Here is a 20,126-nt window from a genome sequence, read left to right as displayed (position 1 = left end):
GTCTTGTCTTATTACATTGTAAACTTCTTGTGGGCGAGAACTGGTCTTAGTCACCTTTGTATCCCTGACAGTATCTCTGGCCCAGAATTTTGTGTGTCATGGATGCTATATCATAAATTGGAGATTACATTTTGTGAATAGCACAGTTCAAAATGGAAACTATAAAGTTCTTTATCTTTTAGCTACTCATCACTTTTATCTGTGGGCCACTTTTTTACTGGTTTAGTATAAGTAGGAAAAACGTATCTTACTAGTATTAACACAGAATCTCACAAATAGCTGGGTGTGGTTGCTTGTGCCTATAATCCCAGCTATTTGGGAGGTTGAAGCAGGAGGATTGCTTGAGGCCGACAGTTTGAGACCAACTTAGACAACATAGCAATATCCTGTCTCTTAAAAAAAAAAAGAAAAATTAGCTGATGGCATTCCTGTGCCTGTAGTCCCAGTTACTCAGGAGGCTGAGGCAGGACTGCTGGAGCCCAGGAGTTAAAGGCTGCAATGAGCTATGATTGCACCACTGCACTCCAGCCTGGTGACAGAGCAAGACCCTATCTCTTAAAACACACACACACACACAACTCAGAAATACTGTTGTTACTGTTGTTAACTAAAAGGTATTCTTGAGGAAGTGATATGATGTGAAGTTAGTAAGTTATTAAAATTATCGTAGTTGCCAGGTGTGGTGGCTCATGCCTGTAATCCTAGCACACCTCTAATCCCAGGCAGGTGGATTGCCTGAGCTTAGGACTTTGAGACCAGCCTGGGTAACACGGTGAAAGCCCGTCTCTACTAAAATATGAAAAATTAGCCGGGCGTGGCGGCAGGCGGCTGTAGTCCCAGCTACTCGGGAGGCTGAGGCAGGAGAATCAATTGACTCCAAGAGGCGGAAGTTGCGGTGAGCCAAAATCACACAACTGCACTCCAGCCTGGCGACAGAGCGAGACTCCGTCTTCAAAAAATAAATAAATAAAAATTATCGTATTTGCTGATTCCAAACGTCAAAGATAAATTGTTAAGTCAAAAGATGCAGAACATTGTGTAGAATATGCCACAACTTAGGTAGAAAAGAGAATATATATGCATTTTAGCTTATATATGCATAAACTATATCTGGAAGGATAAGTAGGAAAAGTAATAACATGCGTACCTTAGGGGTGGGAAAACTGGCAAGGGGTGAAAATCTGGGTAAAAAAGAGCCCTAATGTGACCTCTTTTACAGCCTTGGAACTTTGTACCATGCGTATTAGCTACTAAAAGTAAAACTAAAACAAGAGCTTTAAAATCATAAATCTGTGTCCATTGATGTATGAAAGGATAAGCAAAATGTGGTATATACATACAATGGAATATTATTCACCCTTAAAAAGGAAGGAAATGCTTCAGTGTTCTACGTTGGATGAACCTTGAAGACATTATGCTAAATGAAATAAGTCAGTCCCAAAAAGACACTATTATTCCATTTATATAAGGTAGAGTAGTTAAAATCATAAGAGACAGAAGATAGAATGGTGGTTGCTAAGGTCTGCAGGGAGGGGGAATGGGGAGTTAGTTACTGTTTAATGGGTATGAGTTTCAGTTTTAAAGATGAAAAGAGTTATGGAGATGGACGGGGGTGATTGTTCCACAACATTACAAATGTATTTAATACCACTGAACCGTATGCCTAAAAATGGTTAAGATGCTAAATTTTGTTGGATTTTACTACAATTTTAGAGAAACTGTAAATACTTGAAAATATTACTGATTTTACTAACAAGCTGGATGCAACAGGTAACTCAGGCGTGTCAGTGGCAATCACTCTTTTCCCTCAATTTATACAGGTGTCTTTAATACATCTGGTGGAAGTCACTCCGGTCAGAATTCAGGTACCCTCAATGGTGGAGATGTCATCAATCTTAGACCCAACAAACAAAGGACCAAGAAAAACAGAAATCCTTTTAGCAGCTGTAGCATACCCTAAGATGTTTTGGGAGGAAAACAATTGAATTACATTGTGCAATGCATTAAGAAACCCATCCAGCTGTCATGGTATGTTACAAGGTTTTCAGCAGACTTTGCTCCTAATGGCTCTCTGAAAGTGACAGACTTAAATATTGCTCTGCAGTGCTTTTCAGAATGTAGAGTGAGACCTCTGGTGGAAAAATTATTGCCCTGTGGACTCCTTTAATTTTTTTTACATTAGACGAAGCTTCTCCTGTTTGTAAAGGAATGCTATAAGAAATTTCAAACACAGGTTTTGCGGAATTTTAAATGCTGGAAAACATAAATGAAATGCCTAAATATATTGTTACAGATTTTAATACTGTGGATCAAGGAAAGATAGCAAGCATTCTTTTCCTGAAATTGGTCATGTAGCTTTTCTGCGAAATAGTATTGAATCTGAATACTTTCACAAAATAATACTGAAAGGTAAACCCTAAATCTTGCCAGACTGCATTAGTATTTTGGCATTGAAACTTGTGCAATATCTGTGTAATGTAGAATGTGGGGTGTGCATGCAGATGTCTGGTACTGGAGTAAGCTGAAGGTATGTGCAGTATTTAAGAAAATGTACATTCTAATTAATTCACTTATAAAACCATTTACATATTGTGTATATGTTTTTATTTTCAAATGATAAACTCTAGACATATATTTTGCAAAATGAGCTTGGGTTTAAAAAGTGCTTTGTGCCAAAAATATCATACCTAATTTTTATAGTGCTTTACTATCAGAATTTATATTGTTTATTATATCTTTTAAAAGCAGTAAGCAGTTTTCATCTGACAGCGTAGATAAAAGAGGAGTATAGGAATTTGAATGCTAGAGCATCTCCCAGGTGAGCCTTATTGCAGATCTTTTTGATATAGTCACCCATAAGCATGGTGAGCTCCTGCTCTCATAAGGTCAGCCAAAGCCCCTTAAGAAGGTACACAGCACATCTGCAGTCATTCAGGAGGTCCTGTGAAGTGTGGTGATGCATCTAACACCTTTTGCTGCTCACTGAGAACCCAGCTTTGAACTTACAAGATTACACTAACCATTTTTAAAGTGCACAAAAATATTATTATTAGTCTTAACTAAAATTACATATTTTATAATGCCCTGCAACTCTAAACCATCCTTTTGTTTACACATTTTTGTATGGTATTTTAAGATTATCAATCACTTCAACATTTCTATAACCTTGTTTGTATAGCACTTTCTCAAGAGCTGTCAGTCCCACATACAGAATCATTTCTTTTACAAAATGATTTAATATGTAATCATGTGTCAGGACATAAATTTTGTCACTTGGGACAGTAGCTTTCCAGCTAAGATAATTGCGTGAACTCTGTTAAAACTGATTATCACTCATCAATGGCTTTATTTTTAACCTATAAATAACCCCTTTCAATATACCTGGTTTTTACAGCATTGCAAAATCTGTAAAAATAACTTTTATTGGAAAATGTCATGAAGTCATTTTTCATTATTTGTACTAAACAATGTTTTATGTACTCCTTTTGTGTTTTATCTTTTGTTTTTCCATCTGTACTCCCCTCATCCTCCTAATGTTGAGAAAATCAAATTTCCTGGGTGTGTCCTTGTTAAGTGATCAAAAGTAAATGTTCTCTTTGCCATTTTAGATGGAAAAATAAAAAAAATTAAAAAGTAAATTTTTGCTTTTCATTATATTGAAATGATCTGGCATTATCTATTTCACAGTAATGTAAAATGCTTATTTTTATGTCACCAGTTGTCACCACTCCCATTGCTGATAGTGACATAGGTTTTGGGGGCAAAATTCAGTTCCTAACAAACAGTGGATACTGCTAATGAGTCATCTTTTCTACTCTCTTCAATTTTCTACTCTCTACTCTCCTCTTTAATTTTTGCACAAAATAATACTTTGCAACAAATAGTCTTTTGTCTTTATTGGCAGAAAAATCACTTGTTATATGTGTTCTAGTTAGTTCTTTTTCATGTTAGCTGTGTGGCTAAAAGCGTGTTACCTTTCTATATTTAAAAAAAGTAATCTCTGAGGATAGTTACAGTTCCTGTAATATAATTTTATGTACCTAGTTTTATCTTTTTTTAAATAAGAACTGAAGAGAGAGCTTTGTTACATATTTGAATTTTTAATTTGCACTGCTGTATTTTAAACCTAACCATAATTAGTCATTTAAAATAATTAAGTAGGCCTGAAAGTCAGCCATGTTAATTTCTCAATTTAATCAATTCTTAAAGCCTTCAAAAATTGACATTTTTTTTCCAAGACCCTTCATTCTCTTAAATAACTTTAATTTTATGAAACCATGTATACTAAAGAAAAACTTTTCCAAGATTCCAGGTGATTGTGCATTTGTGCTCTAATCTACTTTTTTAACATTACGGCTAATCTTTTGCGTAGACATATCGCTGTGGAATAACTGCCATATTTCAGAGTTCCTCAGGTTTCCTTTTCCTTTTCCAGTCTCTGTCTATGAATTAAATAGTATATAGAATGACCCATATAAGGCAATATAGTTAAATAAAACCAGGTTAAATGATTTCCTTTGTATCTGCCCAAAGTTGATAGCACACGTTACTTTTTCAAAATAAAGCTAAAACTACCAAAAAGAGGATGAAAACTTTTTCCTCATTATGGAGTGAAGTTCTAGGTGGTTGCTTTAGAAGTTGGCAGTGCAGTGCTCAGAAGGAACTCTCAATAAATAACATGTACTCCTTGGACCTGTGAGTTTTAGGAAACTGGACCTTTTCTGAAGACCTTAGAATAGGGAGTTGGCCTTAGGACCTAATGTCCCAACTTAGTGTTGGACCCTTTTAATATAAGATATTGTTAATTATTAGCATACTTTTCAAAACCTTTGAAATAGTTACTGCTAACCTGATAAAATGTTCCCATTAATCTATCATTAGTCTGTTTCTCTGAAAACAAAATGCATTGATGAGGTGAAAGCTTGTTCCACATGGCACCTACCTAATGAACAGGACTTACTCAGTTTTTAACTGTTAAGAATGTCACATGTACTATTGTCACTCCTTAGGTTTTCAGCTATAAAACATGTAAGTCTCTCATCATACAGATGAATTCATTTGCTAACAAAATATTTAAAACCCGCAGTAGACTCTGAAATATCCAGTCATCAAACTCCTGGCTAACTGGATGATTTGGCTATAATAATCTTTATTATTATTATTTTCATCTGTCTCTCGAAATATCTACAGTAGGATGTTAGTAAATGGTCTTTTAAAAGCAAAAAATTGGGGATAAAAGGAAAACTGAATTCCTTCTATATTTTTATTACTAATAAATAATGCTTTTGTAAATTTGAATGGAAAACCACTTGTATGTATTGCTATTTGGTTGCAGTTACACTCTGGAGCTTAATTTAAAACACTACTCTAAAAATTTCATGAAGGATGAATTCCAATAATCAGAAAATAAATGCATTTCAAAGCTAAAATTTTGTGTGATATGTATGATTGTATCAACAGTGTGGATCTAAATAGTAAAATATATAATGCAACTTCTTTAAAGATCAAAGCAACCTAAAATTATTTCATATTTCAGATACTCTGCCAATATTTAATACTCTCATTTTATTGAAAGTAGTGCTAACAAGGAATGGCAGGAGGGCTACCCTAAAATTATGTATTATATGCTAGGAATGGTAGAGAATTGAGATACAGCAAAACATACTCTATATCCACTTATAGTCTATATAAAAGACAATAGTTTAAATGAGGGTAAAAATGTGACTCAGGAGATTCATCATCATTTGAAAATAAATTATACTCCCATTCTTATAAATAAAAATACATGTTAAGAACCAACCCATTGGCCAAGCGTGGTGGCTCATGCCTGTAATCCCTGTACTTTGGGAGGCCAAGGCAGGCAGATCACAAGGTCAGGAGTTTGAGACCAGCCTGGCCAATATGGTGAAACCCCATGTCTACTAAAAATACAAAAATTTAGCCGGGCGTGGTGGTGGGCGCCTGTAGTCCCAACTACTAGGGAGGCTGAGGCAGGAGAATCGCTTGAACCCGGGAGGTGGAGGTTGCAGTGAGCTGAGATCACACCACTGCACTCCAGCCTGGGCAACAGAGCAAGACTCCATCTCAGAAAAGAAAAAATGAAACCTCATGAAGTAAATGAAACTATAGAAACTGCCTCCATAGCATATATTCAACACCAAACGTCTACAAAATGTTTGTTCTCTTCCCTTCACAGTCTCTTTTCCCTAACTCATATACTCCATAGTGTTCCTTGCTACAGTGGATATGTCTTCTACTTGTCAGACAGCCTGGGTGACAGAGCAAGACTCCAAAACAAAAAACAAAAAAACAAAAAACCACACTGGAGATTCCCTGCCCTTTAGATGTGGCTCTAGGTACAGAATGCTGGAGACACTGTAAACCAGGGACCCCAAGCAGCTTGGAAATGTGGATCATAGCTCTTCAAGTCTGTGATCAGAAATCAATGACCTCCATTAAAAACTCCATTGCAAAAAAATGGGAAAAATAATGCTAAGAATACCAAGGTCAAGGAGGCAGAGCCAGAATAATTTGTGTAGAAAAAGTCCTGGACTGATGTGGAAGCCATGGGAAGCAGGGAGCAGTAGTATTTCCCAGAGTGGAAGGGATTTACGGATGCTGACAATACTTGAGAACCTGAAGAAAACATGACTATCCATTTCTTAATTTTCAAAAAGCTGGTCAAGAAAAAAATGATGCACACAAAAAATCATCTCACAGTCTGATGACAGCAAATCAGTCTGCTAACAAACCAAGTGGCTCTGCCATAGATAGAATTAATGTTTCCCATGAAATGCAAAGATTTAAATAAGGCAGAGTTGGAGCTGGCAAAGGAAGTAACATGAATGTCTTCAGATTGTAACTGCTTTTTATAAAGAGACTAACTTGGCATTTTTGTAGAGAAAATGAAGTTTGATATTGCTTGCATTGAGAGATATATACATACATAAAGTCAGTTTGGATCTTGATTTGGTTTTTCAGTGTGAAGAATACCTACATTCAAATAAAAATTGATGTGTTCATTTCAAAATAGTATCCAGGGAAGTTGTTGTGGTTTTTGTATATCAATAGGACTAGTTACTTTGAACAAATAAGTGTTCTCTAGTTGCTTCACACTTTATCAGATAAAAGAAGAATCAACACACTGGTCAACCTTTTTAGTAAACAAAATGCAAACTAGGTATTAATGCTCAGTGCTGGAAATATTTCAGTGAAATAGCTATATTTTAATTACTGAAAAAAGTATAAATTGCTGTAACCTTTATACAAAAAAAGTTTAATATGTGTGAGGCCATGAAAACGTCTATATCCTTTGACCCAATATAATTCACTGCTGGGCCTTTATACAGAGAAAAACAAAAATGAAAGAAGGAAAAAGTCCTGTGTACAAAAATATGTTGCAGTAATAGCAACAAGTTGGAAACAACCTAAATGTCCATAAAAGAGGAATGGATAAAGATATAACTACACAAAATAGAGCTCATTAAGTTGACAATTAAGCAGACTTTATATCAGCATCTAACTTTTTTAAAAAAAGGCAAGTTACAATATAGGAATTTTAGAGAATTGATGCATTTGAGAAAAGATGAAGCAGATAGATATATAATTGTTCACAGTGGTAAATTATAGGTGGTTTTCTCACATTTTATGTCAGTTTCTTGTATATCAAAAAATACATTCATATTATGAGACACAGGAATCTTTACATCCAAAATAATTTGATACAGATGCCTTAACATTGCTGAATGAGACAACTTTGGAAAGATTCTTGTTTTGTGATTCCTTTTTACCCTCTAAGCACAGTGCTTTGTTAACACTGTGTGTGTAGTAAATGTGTGTGCTGCTTAAGGTAAAGAATTTCTAGTAAACTAAATGCCCAAGGTGACTGCGTGATTCCATGCCAGACAGGAAAAAGCAGTCATGCTTTTTGCCCCTAGCTGAACGTTTGTTTTCCCCACAAACTATGTATTCATCCACAGAATAGTGAAATATGCTAGATCCTAGTACAAGACAAGAATTCAATCTAAAAAATCTCTAGATAGATAATTAAAATATTGCTAGTTTTGTTATTCACAAAACTGAAGATACTTGATGGAATATTTTCCTCATCTGAAACAACTATCAGTGTCAACTAAGTGGTTATACCTAACAAAGAACTAGTTATCAATTAAAATAGTATTTTATCATTTTTACACCTTGTGTATTGTGTAAATGCTCTTAGGTTTGAAGACTAATTGAATCTGCTTTCAGCATTTTGTTGCAGAGTTTTGGAACCAGCTCCTTTAGAATGCTCTAATAGCTTGATGGCCTTGTCAGAGTTTTCAATATTTCTAAGCAGAGTCTCTAATCTTCTCTTAATTTTCTTCTGATCTTCAAGAGCACAGCCAATTACTATGGATTGAAACTTCTGATCAACTGGCCCATGTGGCACCTCAGATGAACATGCACTGTAGAGCGACATTAAATGACTCTTGGCATTTCCCAAATCATCCAGAAACTTATTGACCACCTCATCAATAATCCTTGTGGCATGCTTTAGGGATTCTTGCTGCTGGGGGTTTCTAATTGTTTCTACTGACACTTCAACGGTGAGAGTTCTTCCCATCAAACGGTTTGCAGTCAGATTTAATTCTTCTCTTTCTCCTAAAAATCAATATGAGATGTAAACTTATCTGTGTCAAAAACATTAAGGCATTTGTTTGTGACTAAATTTATTATTTTCTTTACCTCTGCCATGAAATTTTTTTAGAGATAAAAGCTGAAACTATAGCATGTAAGATTAACTGATGAAATGTATTAGATTACAGAAAGAGGTTGTAGAATACCACTTCCTGACAATCTGCATATATGGGATACCAGATGACTTCTCAAATTGGCATGTCTGCAAAAGTTTGGGTAGGTATGCATTTGTAACTGGGATGGAGATCAAGTCTTAACACTGTGAGCAGTAAGCACATATAGGGTTTATGCTGGGTAGAGCTCCAGAGATCAGATGTCCCAGATCTCTCCAGAACGACATGTGCATTTATCAGAATACAATGCCCCAAATTTTGGTTGAGAAAATGTAGCCACGATAGAAGATAAGCTGTCTTCTGTCGTCAATACTAGGCACTGACTTCATCCTTCTCCAGATAGAAGCAGGACAGTGGTCTAAAGTCTTGGCCAGCACGAGGAGCTCTATCAACATTTCATTATTTATATGAGAAAGTCAGCAAGCTCCTGCTTCTGTAACTTCCTAATTCATTGATCTTTGGGCAGGATAGCGTAGAGACTAGATCATGGCCTACCTATAGATGTGTAACAGTTTTGATCTGGATTTAGGTTGCTTACTTACCTCACCAGCCACTTGGCCCAGTACCATGTGGCCTGTGTGGCACCAAAGGAGCCCAAGTAGGAAGTCCAGTGCCAATAAAAGAAAATCAGAAGTGACCTATTCCTATTTCATGTTCTTCACATGAAAATGACAGCACAGGTTAGGCAGATGTCACATGCCTGTAATCCCAGCACTTTGGGAGGCTGAGGCAGGCGGATCACCTGAGGTCAGGAGTTTGAGACCAGCTTGGCCAACATGGTGAAACCCTGTCTTTACTAAAAATATAAAAATTAGCCAGGCGTGGTGGCACGTGCCTGTAATCCCAGCTACTCGGGAGGCTGAGGCAGGAGAATCGCTTCAACCCAGGAGGCAGAGGTTGCAGTGAGCCAAGATCGCGCCATTGCACTCCAGCCTGGGTGACGAGTAAAACTCCATCTCAAAAAAAGAAAAAAGAAAATGACAGCACATTTTTACATTCATGCCTTTTATTGGTCCTACAAGTTTCCTCATTTTCTCTGCATTTTGTCCCTTCTCTTTATGTTGTACCTCAATTCATCTTTTTTTTTTTTTTTTTTTTGGTCTCTACTTCTCTGCTTCCACTCTCTCACCCTCTTCCTCTGCTTTTTTAATCTCTTGCAGTCCAGTAACTTGTGAGGAACTGAAGTTAGGACTGTGAACCTGGGATAAAACACATGGCCTTACTGCTTGGGGCCAGCTTTTCTGAGCTTGCAGGCTTTTTCCTATCTCTCCTAGCCAGGGGCTTGGGGTAGAGAGCATGCTGGAAGAAATCTCTGAGTAAGTGGCTGCTGTAATGAACTGACAGCTGCAGCTGCTCTCTGTGGCTCACATTAAATGCTGTGGCCTGGTGTACGCATACCAAAAGTCAAGCAAAAATTGACCCACACTTATCATAAACTCTTTAAAGGAGTGTAAAAGATGAGCCCCTTCTGTGGAGATGGCTCTCACCGTCACTGATCTGCCTCATGTCCTGGCTATTTTGGATACTGTGGATCATTTCCAGAAGGATTTCTTTCTCTTGCTCAACAGCAGTTGCTGCTTCTCTCAAAGCTTCAACCCTATAGAAATTGGGAAAACAAAACGGTTATTGTATGCAGGATGTTCTTCCTATTAATTTTCTTTATCTCTCATTCAACCCAAATCAAGTTTAAAGATCACCAAACTTTTCAAAAATTCTTCATTTCTGCTTTAAAATTCTTTCATTTTTCTATACACTTGCCTTTCTCCCATTTTCCTCCCAGCTCATAAGGCAATCATTCTTTCGTGTTTATCTAATTAATACTATTTGTTTTTTACAAGATCTGTATTATTTGTATATTTTGAATTTATATCTCATTCTGTTTTTATTTTTTCACTTAGCATCCAGGTTGCTAGATTTTTGTTTGTTTTTTGTTTTTGAGACAGTCTTGCTTTGTCACCCAGGTTGGAGCACAGTGGCACAATCTCACCGCAGCCTCCACCTCCCGCTTTCAAGTGATTCTCGTGCCTCAGCCTCCAGGCCCGGCTAATTTCTGTAGTTTTAGTAGAGACGGGGTTTCACCATGTTGGCCAGGCTGGTCTCAAACTCCTGGGGTTTCACCATGTTGGCCAGGCTGGTCTCAAACTGCTGGCCTCAAGTGATCTGCCCACCGCAGCCTCCCAAAGTGCTGGGATTACAGGTGTGAGCCACCACACCCAGCCCCCTATGTGTACTTCTAATCAGTTGCTGCTAATTGCTGTATAATACTCCATGTGTATACCTACCTGATTTTCCCTCTCCACTCTCCCAGAGATGGACACTTAGGTTGTCTACCAGCTTCTCATTACTACAAATAACACTTCTATGAATACATCTCCCCTTTGGACCTTGGTGAGGATTTCCTTAGGACATATACCAGGACAGAACTGCTAAGACAAAGGGTATGTGTACTCTGCTTTTGACTTAGTATTATGACTATTCTGCAGAACACCTGTACCTATCCACTCTCCACAGCAAAGCACAGGGGTCCCCATATCCCTACCAACATTCTGCATTTTCCAACTTTCTATTTGCTGCCAGTGTGACAGAAATACACTGATATGTCAGTGTTAACTTGTGTTTTCCTAATAATTTCAGACATCTCTTTGTATCCTTGTTAGCCTATTCATAGACTTTTCCTATTTTGCTTTTCTATTTTTAAACAGGAGTTACTGTTCCCTTGTTGATTTGTATACTCAAGAGATTCTTGTTGGTTACAGACATTGCAACCATCTCTCATCCTCTCATATATGAACCACGTCTGGGATGTCTTGCACTAAAGAGAGACTCTTATTTTGATGCGATCAATTTTTTTTTTTTTTTTGCCTTATGGCGTATGCTTTTGAAGTTTTGACCTAAGGTCTTCCCCCACCCTTTGGTCCTATTTTCCTATATTTTCTCTTATTAACTTTATAGTTCTACCTTCCTTATATTTATGTCTTTAATCCACCTAGCATCAACCCCTGCATGCAGTTAGGTAAGAATGTTTTGTTTTTTTCTTCCAAATAGCCATTTTCCCCAACATTATTTACCAAGCAATCCATCTTTCCCCTAGCGAATGTATATTCGCTATTTATCTCTAAAATCTCTATGCCATGCATTAGTGTATTTAACTGTTCTTATACCAGTGCCAAGTTTTGGGTTTTTTTTTTTAATAGCACTAGCCTTGTACTACACTTTAATATTTGATAGAGCAGGTCCCTCAATCTTCTTTAAAGATAACTTAGCTATTTATGGACTTTTACTTCTCCAACTTTTCCATATAAATTCTAGGGTAAGTTTATTGTGTTTCTCAAAAAACAAGAGAAATTAGACATCTTTATAACATCTCTCTGTTTAAAGGCATGATATATGTCTCTTCATTTATTCAGATCTATAGAGTTCCCATGTATTCTTCATAGTAGTCTTCGTGGATATTGCTGCTATTGTGAATTTGTATTTTCTACTTGATTTTTACTGGTTTGAGAAGTGCTGTTTTTGTAGGTTTATCTTGTCACTGGCAACCTTGATTTACATGTATTCATTTTAGTGTTCAGTCTGTTGATTCTGTTGGTTCTTCTAGGTTAATAATCATATCCATATCATCTGCAGTTTTTATTTCTTCCTTCCCAATCCTATTACTTTTTTTTTTTTAAGAAAAGGTCCTTCAGTACTGTATTAAACAGTGGCAATCATGGGGGTATCTTTGTCTTTTCCCAAATTTAAGGGAAAATCTCTGTGGCTTTTTTGTGTAAAGCCCTGATCAAACTATAGAAGCACTACTTTCCCACTTCACTCAATTGCACACACATGCACTCACACTATACACACACATGAATATACCCAGTCACTAAAAAACTAAGCTGTGGAATAAGGGCAAAATAAAGAAATATATATTGTATATTTAACATGTTCTATACTTCCAGGGAACGTTGTTATTATGAATTACAGTAACTAAGATGCCAACTTTTGCAAAATGAAAGTGACAGACCTATTCCCAGTATTTGGATGGTCTTAGAAATACAAGTTCATGAAAGATCTAATCCTAACTGCTGTCTTAAGTGTGCACAGAAAGAACAACTTCACCAATGTTTTAGCACGTTCAATTCCATAAAAGGATCCTCTCCCTGCCCTAAGCACACACATGCCTTTTCCCCTTCGGTTACCCACCTGTTATACCCCAAAATAGTACTGACAGGCTGTAAAATCACAGGATATCTTTATTCTTCAAGATATTAAATATATGTCAAAGTGTGTTTATAAGAGCCAGTAAAAGCAAAGAACTGGGAAGAATCGCATGTGACAAATTTGGCTAGAGAACACAATCAAAATACAAATATTCTACTAACTAATAGTAATGCAAGTATCAGGCCCTATTCCAGGACCATTCAGTATTTACTTAAACATTTTACATTAGCAATCTCTCAGAAAGATAAACTAGGGCCCAGAACATAGGAAAGAGACGGAGTTGGCACTAAATATTTATGCTAAAAGCACAAACCATGACTCCAATATTTAGACAAATGACACAGGTGAATCATGTGATTGATAAATGAGAAGATGCTGAAAGAAGAGATTAATTTTTCAACACCTTTTCGGTTTGTATTCAATTGTAAGATGATAAGAGAGAACAATGCTATTCTGAAAAGGAAGGTTTCATTTATGAGTTACAGCAGTAAGTTCATGTTCTTAACAAAATAGATAAAAAAGACATTCTAGAAAAAATATAATAAGCCTGTCATATGACGAAAATATTTTATCATTAAATGAGACCAAATAGTTAGGTGGAACTGCTAAAGTTTGTGTTTTAGGGACCCTCCCCCACCCCCATCCCACAAGGCTTTTTTTAATACATAATAGAAATTACCAGGGCATTATCCCTGTGAAAACCAGATTTCATCATTTATAGAACTTCTTATATACATTTTTATGTATACCTTTTTCATTTCATGCAAGGGTAAAATGTCATTCTTCAAAATGTAAAGATCTCAGGGTTTATTTGGCAACATGGGCTTTTCATGTCCTATTCCCTCTTCAGGTAGCATTCTTTCTCCCTGACCCTTGTCTACTGGGATCACCTTTTTCAAAACCCAATTGCTTCAGCAGGAATTGTTTCCTTAGCTTCCCCCTTCCTCTCCCTTAAGGCAATTCATGCTCCTTTTGGCCCTGGTACATCCATTTACTCTACAGTCTAAAATATGTCTACCTCATATTTTACATTTTTTCTTTTAAAAAGCTGAACCTAGATCTCTACTTAGTTTAAGTAACGTTTGTACTGTTTGTCAGCTATTGCTATCCTTAAACTCATATACACGTCTTTTGTCTACAATTTTTCCATTAGTTCTAGAAAATTCTTGGCTGTTGTATCTTTGAATATTCCCTGTCTCCCCTTCTGTTATTTTCGTCTGGAACTCTGGTTAGAGAAATGTTGGACCATCTCACTTTATCCTTCATGTTTCTTAATATCTCATCTGGCAACACTTCTGGCGGAGAAGGGCAGTTCTGTTTTTACTAACAGATCCCGGAAGCAGCTACACGTCCAAATTGGGAAAGAACTTTTCCTCACATCAAGGCTGGCCTGGGCTGTGCTCCTGGAAAACTCCCTGCATGAAATCACAACTAAGTAGGCTTTGACAAAAAGAAATTTTAGTCAGAGTACTCAGTAGGAAGACAAAACCGGAGCGCATGCATCCTCAGCTAGTACCCAGGTCTTGGGCACCTCACAAACCTCTGCAGTCTCAGTATCGAAACGGCAAACTGCTGGGAGACTTAGGAGGAGTACAACAGCAATTTTGCGCAAACTGTGGCTACTATTAATATGTCAGCTAATAGAGTATGCAGTGAAAACTGCGCCAGCACTGCCACTACTAGCTGTGCAAATGGGTCAGTCGCCTATGAAACAGGGATGATAAGGGAACAGTGCTTGTGACTAAATGAAGTAAAGCAGGTAGAGTTTAACAGTGACTGATAGCACTGACTAAAAAAATTACACACACACACAAGTTAATATGTATAATGTGTCTAGAATTGGCACTGGCATATATTTATAGTATTAATAGCTATTATATTCTTACCATTATGAATGTGGGCTTATTTATTAATGATGAAAATTTGTGCTTTCATAAAAAGGAGGGAAAATGGCAAATGCTCATACCATGATTTGAAAGAAATAATTTCTAAAACAGGTTTGTTTTTTTTGAGATGGAGTCTCACTCTGTCGTCCAGGCCGGAGTGCAGTGGTGTGATCTCAGCTCACTGCAACCTCCACCTCCAGGGTTCAAGTGATTCTCCTGCCTCAGCCTCCCGAGTGGCTAGGACTACAGACATGCGCCACCACGTCTGGCTAACTTTTGAATTTTTTATTAGAGATGGTTTTCACCATGTTGGACAGGCTGGTCTCAAACTCCTGACCTCAGGTGATCTGCCCACCTCAGCCTCCCAAAGTGCTGGGATTACAGGAGTGAGCCACCACGCCTGGCCTAAAACAGGTTCTTAAAACTCATAGTTCTGTCTCTTATTCCATACTCCTATATCAAAAGAATGCTATAATGATCACTTTTAGGCAATGTAAAATTCTGAAGTGTTTTCCTAATCACCAAAATGTTAAATTACATTTACTGTCAAGACATTTTGGTGTAAAAGAAGGGACTAGTGTTTTTAGTGTGAAGAGCCACTTTTCAGTAGCATGTCCTCAGGCAAGCCACTTCATCCTAATTGGACCTCACTTCCCTCATTTCTAGGAGAGAGAGTATGTGCCCTCCACCTAACTCGAAGGGTTCTTAAAGTTTCAAATAACATATATGAAGTGTTCTTTTAAATTACAGGCTGTCACACAGTATTAACTATGATGCCATCTTGTTTTGTGACTCCTAGAACACTGGCACACCCTAACATGAAACTTTAAGCCAGACGAATGATCCCTATCACCCCCAACCCCATCCCTTCACTACCTGGGTGCAGGTTAAGCCACAGTGAAAGGCTGACAGGAAGGCAGAAGGAGCCACTGTGTTATAAGTTTTGGGAAACATATGAAAAGCCAATCTCCCAGTCCTATCATTTTCCCCTCTGCCAGTCTCCAAAACCCATCCCCCAAACATCTTCATTACCATCTTGAGCTTTCTAGGAGCTACCCAATACCTAACACATAGTGGGTGTTCAATATCCACTGAATTAAAGGCCAATTTAGATTGAATTTTTATCTCTTAGAGGAAGCTCATCTATTCATCCATATATCATTTCTATATTTTGAAATGTGATATATTTAAGAAAATTCAGGCATAAAGTATTAGAGCCTGGAGAGCCAGTCTTCCTGGGTTCAAATTTGGAGTTTACTACTCTCTAGTTGTGTGACTTTGGACAAGTCATTTAAGCTTCTAAGCCTCAATTTCCCTATCTGTAGAATGGTGATAATAGTAACAACGACATGGGGCCTGGCACATAGTCCGTGTACATTAAATGAATAAACATTAGCCTGTGTTTTAGAAAAAACTCTCACACTGTGTTTTTCCTCTGCTCTCACACTGTAACAACACAGAAGGCTGTGACCAAATATGTGGGGGATTTGCAGCTAAGTATCCCCCAACTCAGTTCCAACACTCCCTACACCTGGAGACGGTATCAGATCCCACAAGTTGAAAGCTCAGTCCCCAAGACCCCACCCTCCACCGTTGCAAGTCTAGGCCTCCAGAACTTCTGACCAACTGGCTTCAAATTGGGGTTCCCATGTCCCCCTCTTTGGGTTTAACTTGCTGCAGCAGCTCACAAAATTCAGGGAAACACTTACTTATATTTACGGATTTATTATAAAGGGTATTACAAAGGACATGGATAAAGAGATGTGTAGGGTGAGGTACAGGGGGAAGGGGCACACCACCTTCCAGGAGCCTCCACATGTCCAGCTATCCAGAAGCTCTCCAAACCCTGTCCTTTTTGGGTTCTTATGGAGGCTTGCTTCTTTTATATAAGCATGAATGACAACCATGTAGAAAAGTGATTGGACAAAAAGAGTATGCCCTCACTCTAACAGACTGAATGGGGAAACCCAGCAAGGCCAGTCTATTCAGATTCTTCTTGGCCTCTGGGTGCTAAATGCCCTCCTCCAGGGCATAGGGCAGGACCCTCTCTGGAACGAGAGTCTTTTGACCCACAATCAGACTAGAGGTAAGGCAGGTGAAAGAAGGTCAGAGAGAGAGATTCTTTTTCCTGAGGCCTAAAGCACCCCAACATTATAACGTAAGACTGTAATAAGGGTTATGGGAGTTATGAGCCAGGAACTATAACATAAGACTGTAACAAGGGTTATGGGAGTTATGAGCCAGGAAAACGTTGTATATATACAGAGAGAGAGAATCGTAATATCATAGTATTTTTTACAAATTACAATAATTGTTAAAAAGTAACAATAGTAAGCAAGATGGTTTGAGCCACTGAAGAATGCAAAACTCAGAGTCCATTTAGAACTGATCGTCAAAACGGAGAAAAGGGAATCACCTCTGTAGAAGGAAGAAATACAGAAGACAAAATGCAGTCCAAAAAAAAGGGCTACTGTATTGATAAATTCCATTAGAGATAAATGGAAATCCTTTAACAGTTTGTAAAACTGCTGCCAAACATTTTAAACATCATGTAGATCAGTTCATACTCCAGGTCATAAAGTATGAAATTTCTTCCACAATTGACAGGATCAGTGTGGTTAGGGAACATTAAGTGCACACTTCTAAGTACAAACTATAAGGTTTTATTCTACACAGTTACACTACTTTATTAGTCAACAAAATCAAACTATTAGAGCAAAATTACATATGAGTTTCATGTTTTCTTTTAAAAATCGATCTTCTACGCATGATTCTAGTTTTTAATAGTGTTCAGTGCCATTGCCCATGTGGTTTCAAAAAAAACTTTAATAGGATCTACATTAGCATTTTTCTCTATTTTTGCTTACCTTCGGAAATCCTTCCTTTTCAGCTAGTATTACTTTTTTAAAAAGAAGAAAAAAGGCCTACAAAAGTCCAGAATTACTAAAAAAAAGTCCTTGAAATGAACAGCCACATATTAATCACTTTTCTCCTCAGCTCAAATGTTAATTAAGCAAGTTGTAATTTAATCACTGATGTGCAATCAGAATTCATTTTACATTAATCAAACAGTAGAATATAATAATATTCAAAACCTGAGGCTTTCTTTTAAAGAGGAGCACTTCAGAGTGCTTTTGTACCTACCACATGTGAGGCATTAATTCAAGTTGGAGGACAATGACTCAGCTTGAAGGAAGGCGGAGTGGAGTAACAACCTCCCCATTCCTTTAGGAAAACTTTTCTTTCTGGCTAAGGGAGAGGAGAATGAAGTGGTTGAGAACATGCCCTCAACGTTCTGAAGACATGGAGAGATGTGTGTTACTTGTTATGTGGCTCCCTAAAAAGAAACATTACCAGTTAGAGGGACTTCAAGTAACTGAGGCCACCAATTTCTACTTTCGCTCTACTTTTTCTGGGAGTGGAACGGTCAGGTTTGCCAGTATTGTGAAAATCCATGAGGAAGCATTACTTCTCTCTTCCACTTGCCTCATTCTGAGTGGAACCCCAGAACCTGGTGTAGGGCTTAATAATCCAAGAAATTATTTTGAGTGGAGAATCTCTCACTCTCTGGCTCTTTTCTCCCAATAGTAACAATAATAATGCCTCACTTGTTAAGAGATACCGTGGTTATTGAAGTATTTTCTCAGCAAACAGATACTTCATGTTTGGGTGTATTAATGTAGGAAGATAAAGACACACATGCAGTGTTTCCTAAACTTTTTGGCTCACATGCTTCTTTGCTCATGCACAACCTAGACAAAACTATGTAACCAACTCCTGTGTACAGTTTCACGGAATTGCAGGTGCCTAACAAGATTTTCTTTTAACTACACCTGCTCACAAAATTTACACAGTAACTTGAGACAAACGTTCACAGGAAGTAGATAAAACTTTTCAATACACCGTTAAAGTCTTTCCAAAAATCTATTAACATTAAATTGTTTAGAAATTCTATACAAGTCTACTACTGTATTACCAAATAAATTCTTAAGCAAGAAAAGGGGAAAACTATCTTTTCATGCTTTCAGGCCAGTAACTAGCACTTAGTCTTCTATGTAGGGAGGTGCCCAATAAATACCGAGAGACGAACGGAACCGCTGAATCCCGTCCGCGAGGTTAGGGGAGAAACAGAAGCGGCAACGTCTCTGCTGCACGAAGCACCCGGTAACTTACTGCCTACCCCTCACTCCTGTCTAATCTTTGCTCTCAATGGATTGCTGGGTTGGTTTTGTTTTATTCATTTTTGTTCTGAAGCAAGGAAACTTAACTTCACGTGGAGGGCCACTGTAAACTGCTGCCTCCCTTAAAAAATGCATAACGAGAAGAGTAAGTTAAAACGTTTGGGGCCACACAGAAGGTTCTAGAAGTTCTGCAGACCCAAGCTGCCACAGTCCTTAATCGCATGGAATCTCACTGTAACTTTTATCTCCTCTGATTTTTTTCCGCTCCCTAACACCTAGGTAAATTAATCAAAGTGTGGCCACCGATAACGCCCTCACAGGTTTAGCTTAAATCGAATGCGTTTTCTCTCGGACTAGGGGAGATAATCCAAGAAACAAACAAAACTACACCACGTCCATCCACAACAAATCTCAACAAGCAACTTCGGTTGCCGCAGCCTCACTGTGCCCCAGGCCCCGGCCCGCCACACGCGGCCTCCGTCCGCTAACCGCCCGCGAACCGCCCGCGCGGCGAGCAGAACGCCCGAGACCGCCCGCCCGGAGCTCACCTGAGCTCCAGCTGGTCCAGGCTCTCCAGCAGGCGGCTGGAGCGGTCAGCCATGGAGGAGGAGCGGCAGAAGCGCCCCTCGTTGGCTTTAGCGTTGATCTTCGCCTGAGCCATCTAAGCCTCCGACGCGGGGTAGCCAAGAGGTCACCGGCCCCTCCGGCGGCAGCGAGTGGAGCGCTCCTTGGGCTGCAGGCGTCGCCGTCACCACGCGGGCGCCCGCCCTCCCTCTGACGCCCGCGGGGGCAACCCGGGAGGACTCGCCGACACCGCGGCTGCAGCGTAGCCAAAGAAGGGCAGGCGCGGCGCCCGCGGGGCTCGGGGACGCCGGGCCTGGGAGGGGGCTGCAGCGGCTGGAGTTAGAGGTTCGCGAGCCACACGGGCTCGAGGATGGGCCGACAGGGGCTCGGGCCTGGGGAGCGCAAGTCTCTGAGGCACGGGAGGGGCGGACGCAGAGACCGAGCGCCTAATGTGGCTAGCGGATCGTCTGCTCCCCGGACCCAGGAACTACCCGAAGCCC

At 38.8% G+C, this 20,126-nt stretch overlaps 2 protein-coding genes across 9 annotated transcripts in view, besides 4 other annotated features; one reads left to right on the top strand and one right to left on the bottom strand.

Moving 5' to 3' along the window:
• Positions 1-5,429, top strand: part of RAB23 (RAB23, member RAS oncogene family) — a 35,316-nt gene extending 29,887 nt beyond the window's left edge. For all 6 annotated transcript variants that reach the window (NR_103822.2, NM_001278666.2, NM_001278667.2 and 3 more), the window contains one exon: positions 1,821-5,429. Coding sequence is in view for 5 of the 6 variants with exons in the window: in NM_001278666.2 (NP_001265595.1) it covers positions 1,821-1,960 (140 nt within the window). In the remaining variant the exon portion in view is untranslated. The remainder of the gene's footprint in view (positions 1-1,820) is intronic.
• BAG2 (BAG cochaperone 2) lies at positions 2,588-20,095 on the bottom strand. 3 transcript variants are annotated; one of them, XM_005249490.5, is made up of 4 exons: positions 18,960-19,551; positions 18,026-18,218; positions 10,280-10,389; positions 2,588-8,643 (listed from the first exon to the last, which is right to left on the bottom strand). In XM_005249490.5, the coding sequence occupies exons 2-4, from the start codon at positions 18,037-18,039 to the stop codon at positions 8,231-8,233; spliced, it is 537 nt and encodes a 178-aa protein (XP_005249547.1). In that variant the 5' UTR covers positions 18,040-18,218; positions 18,960-19,551; the 3' UTR covers positions 2,588-8,230. The 3 variants fall into 3 exon arrangements, with proteins under 3 accessions (XP_005249547.1, XP_011513301.1, NP_004273.1); XM_011514999.4 differs by having other exon boundaries at positions 18,026-18,130; NM_004282.4 differs by lacking the exons at positions 18,026-18,218; positions 18,960-19,551 and adding an exon at positions 19,611-20,095.
• Positions 19,191-19,948: an enhancer, noted in NCBI's record as "H3K27ac hESC enhancer chr6:57037271-57038028 (GRCh37/hg19 assembly coordinates)". NCBI's record gives its function as "activates a minimal SCP1, AML or CMV promoter by ChIP-STARR-seq in primed H9 embryonic stem cells {active_cell/tissue: H9 hESC(primed)}" and the evidence as "EXISTENCE:reporter gene assay evidence [ECO:0000049][PMID:30033119]".
• Positions 19,191-19,952: a biological region, named in NCBI's record as "H3K27ac hESC enhancer GRCh37_chr6:57037271-57038028".
• Positions 19,683-19,952: a silencer, noted in NCBI's record as "silent region_17303". NCBI's record gives its function as "represses an Ori minimal core promoter by ATAC-STARR-seq in GM12878 lymphoblastoid cells {active_cell/tissue: GM12878}" and the evidence as "EXISTENCE:reporter gene assay evidence [ECO:0000049][PMID:35858748]".
• Positions 20,003-20,082: a silencer, noted in NCBI's record as "silent region_17302". NCBI's record gives its function as "represses an Ori minimal core promoter by ATAC-STARR-seq in GM12878 lymphoblastoid cells {active_cell/tissue: GM12878}" and the evidence as "EXISTENCE:reporter gene assay evidence [ECO:0000049][PMID:35858748]".

Source organism: Homo sapiens, chromosome 6, assembly GCF_000001405.40.
Source record: "Homo sapiens chromosome 6, GRCh38.p14 Primary Assembly".
Lineage (NCBI taxonomy): Eukaryota > Metazoa > Chordata > Mammalia > Primates > Hominidae > Homo > Homo sapiens.
This window is presented reverse-complemented; position numbering and strand designations above follow the sequence as displayed.

Excerpts from the sequence above, each read along its gene's own strand:
- BAG2 (NM_004282.4), bottom strand. The coding sequence starts at position 19,723 with ATGGCTCAGGCGAAGATCAACGCTAAAGCCAACGAGGGGCGCTTCTGC. Across the intron at positions 10,390-19,610 it reads CTGGACCAGCTGGAGCTCAG|GGTTGAAGCTTTGAGAGAAG; the intron begins GTGAGCTCCGGG and ends CAATTTCTATAG. Across the intron at positions 8,644-10,279 it reads CATGAGGCAGATCAGTGACG|GAGAAAGAGAAGAATTAAAT; the intron begins GTGAGAGCCATC and ends ATTGATTTTTAG.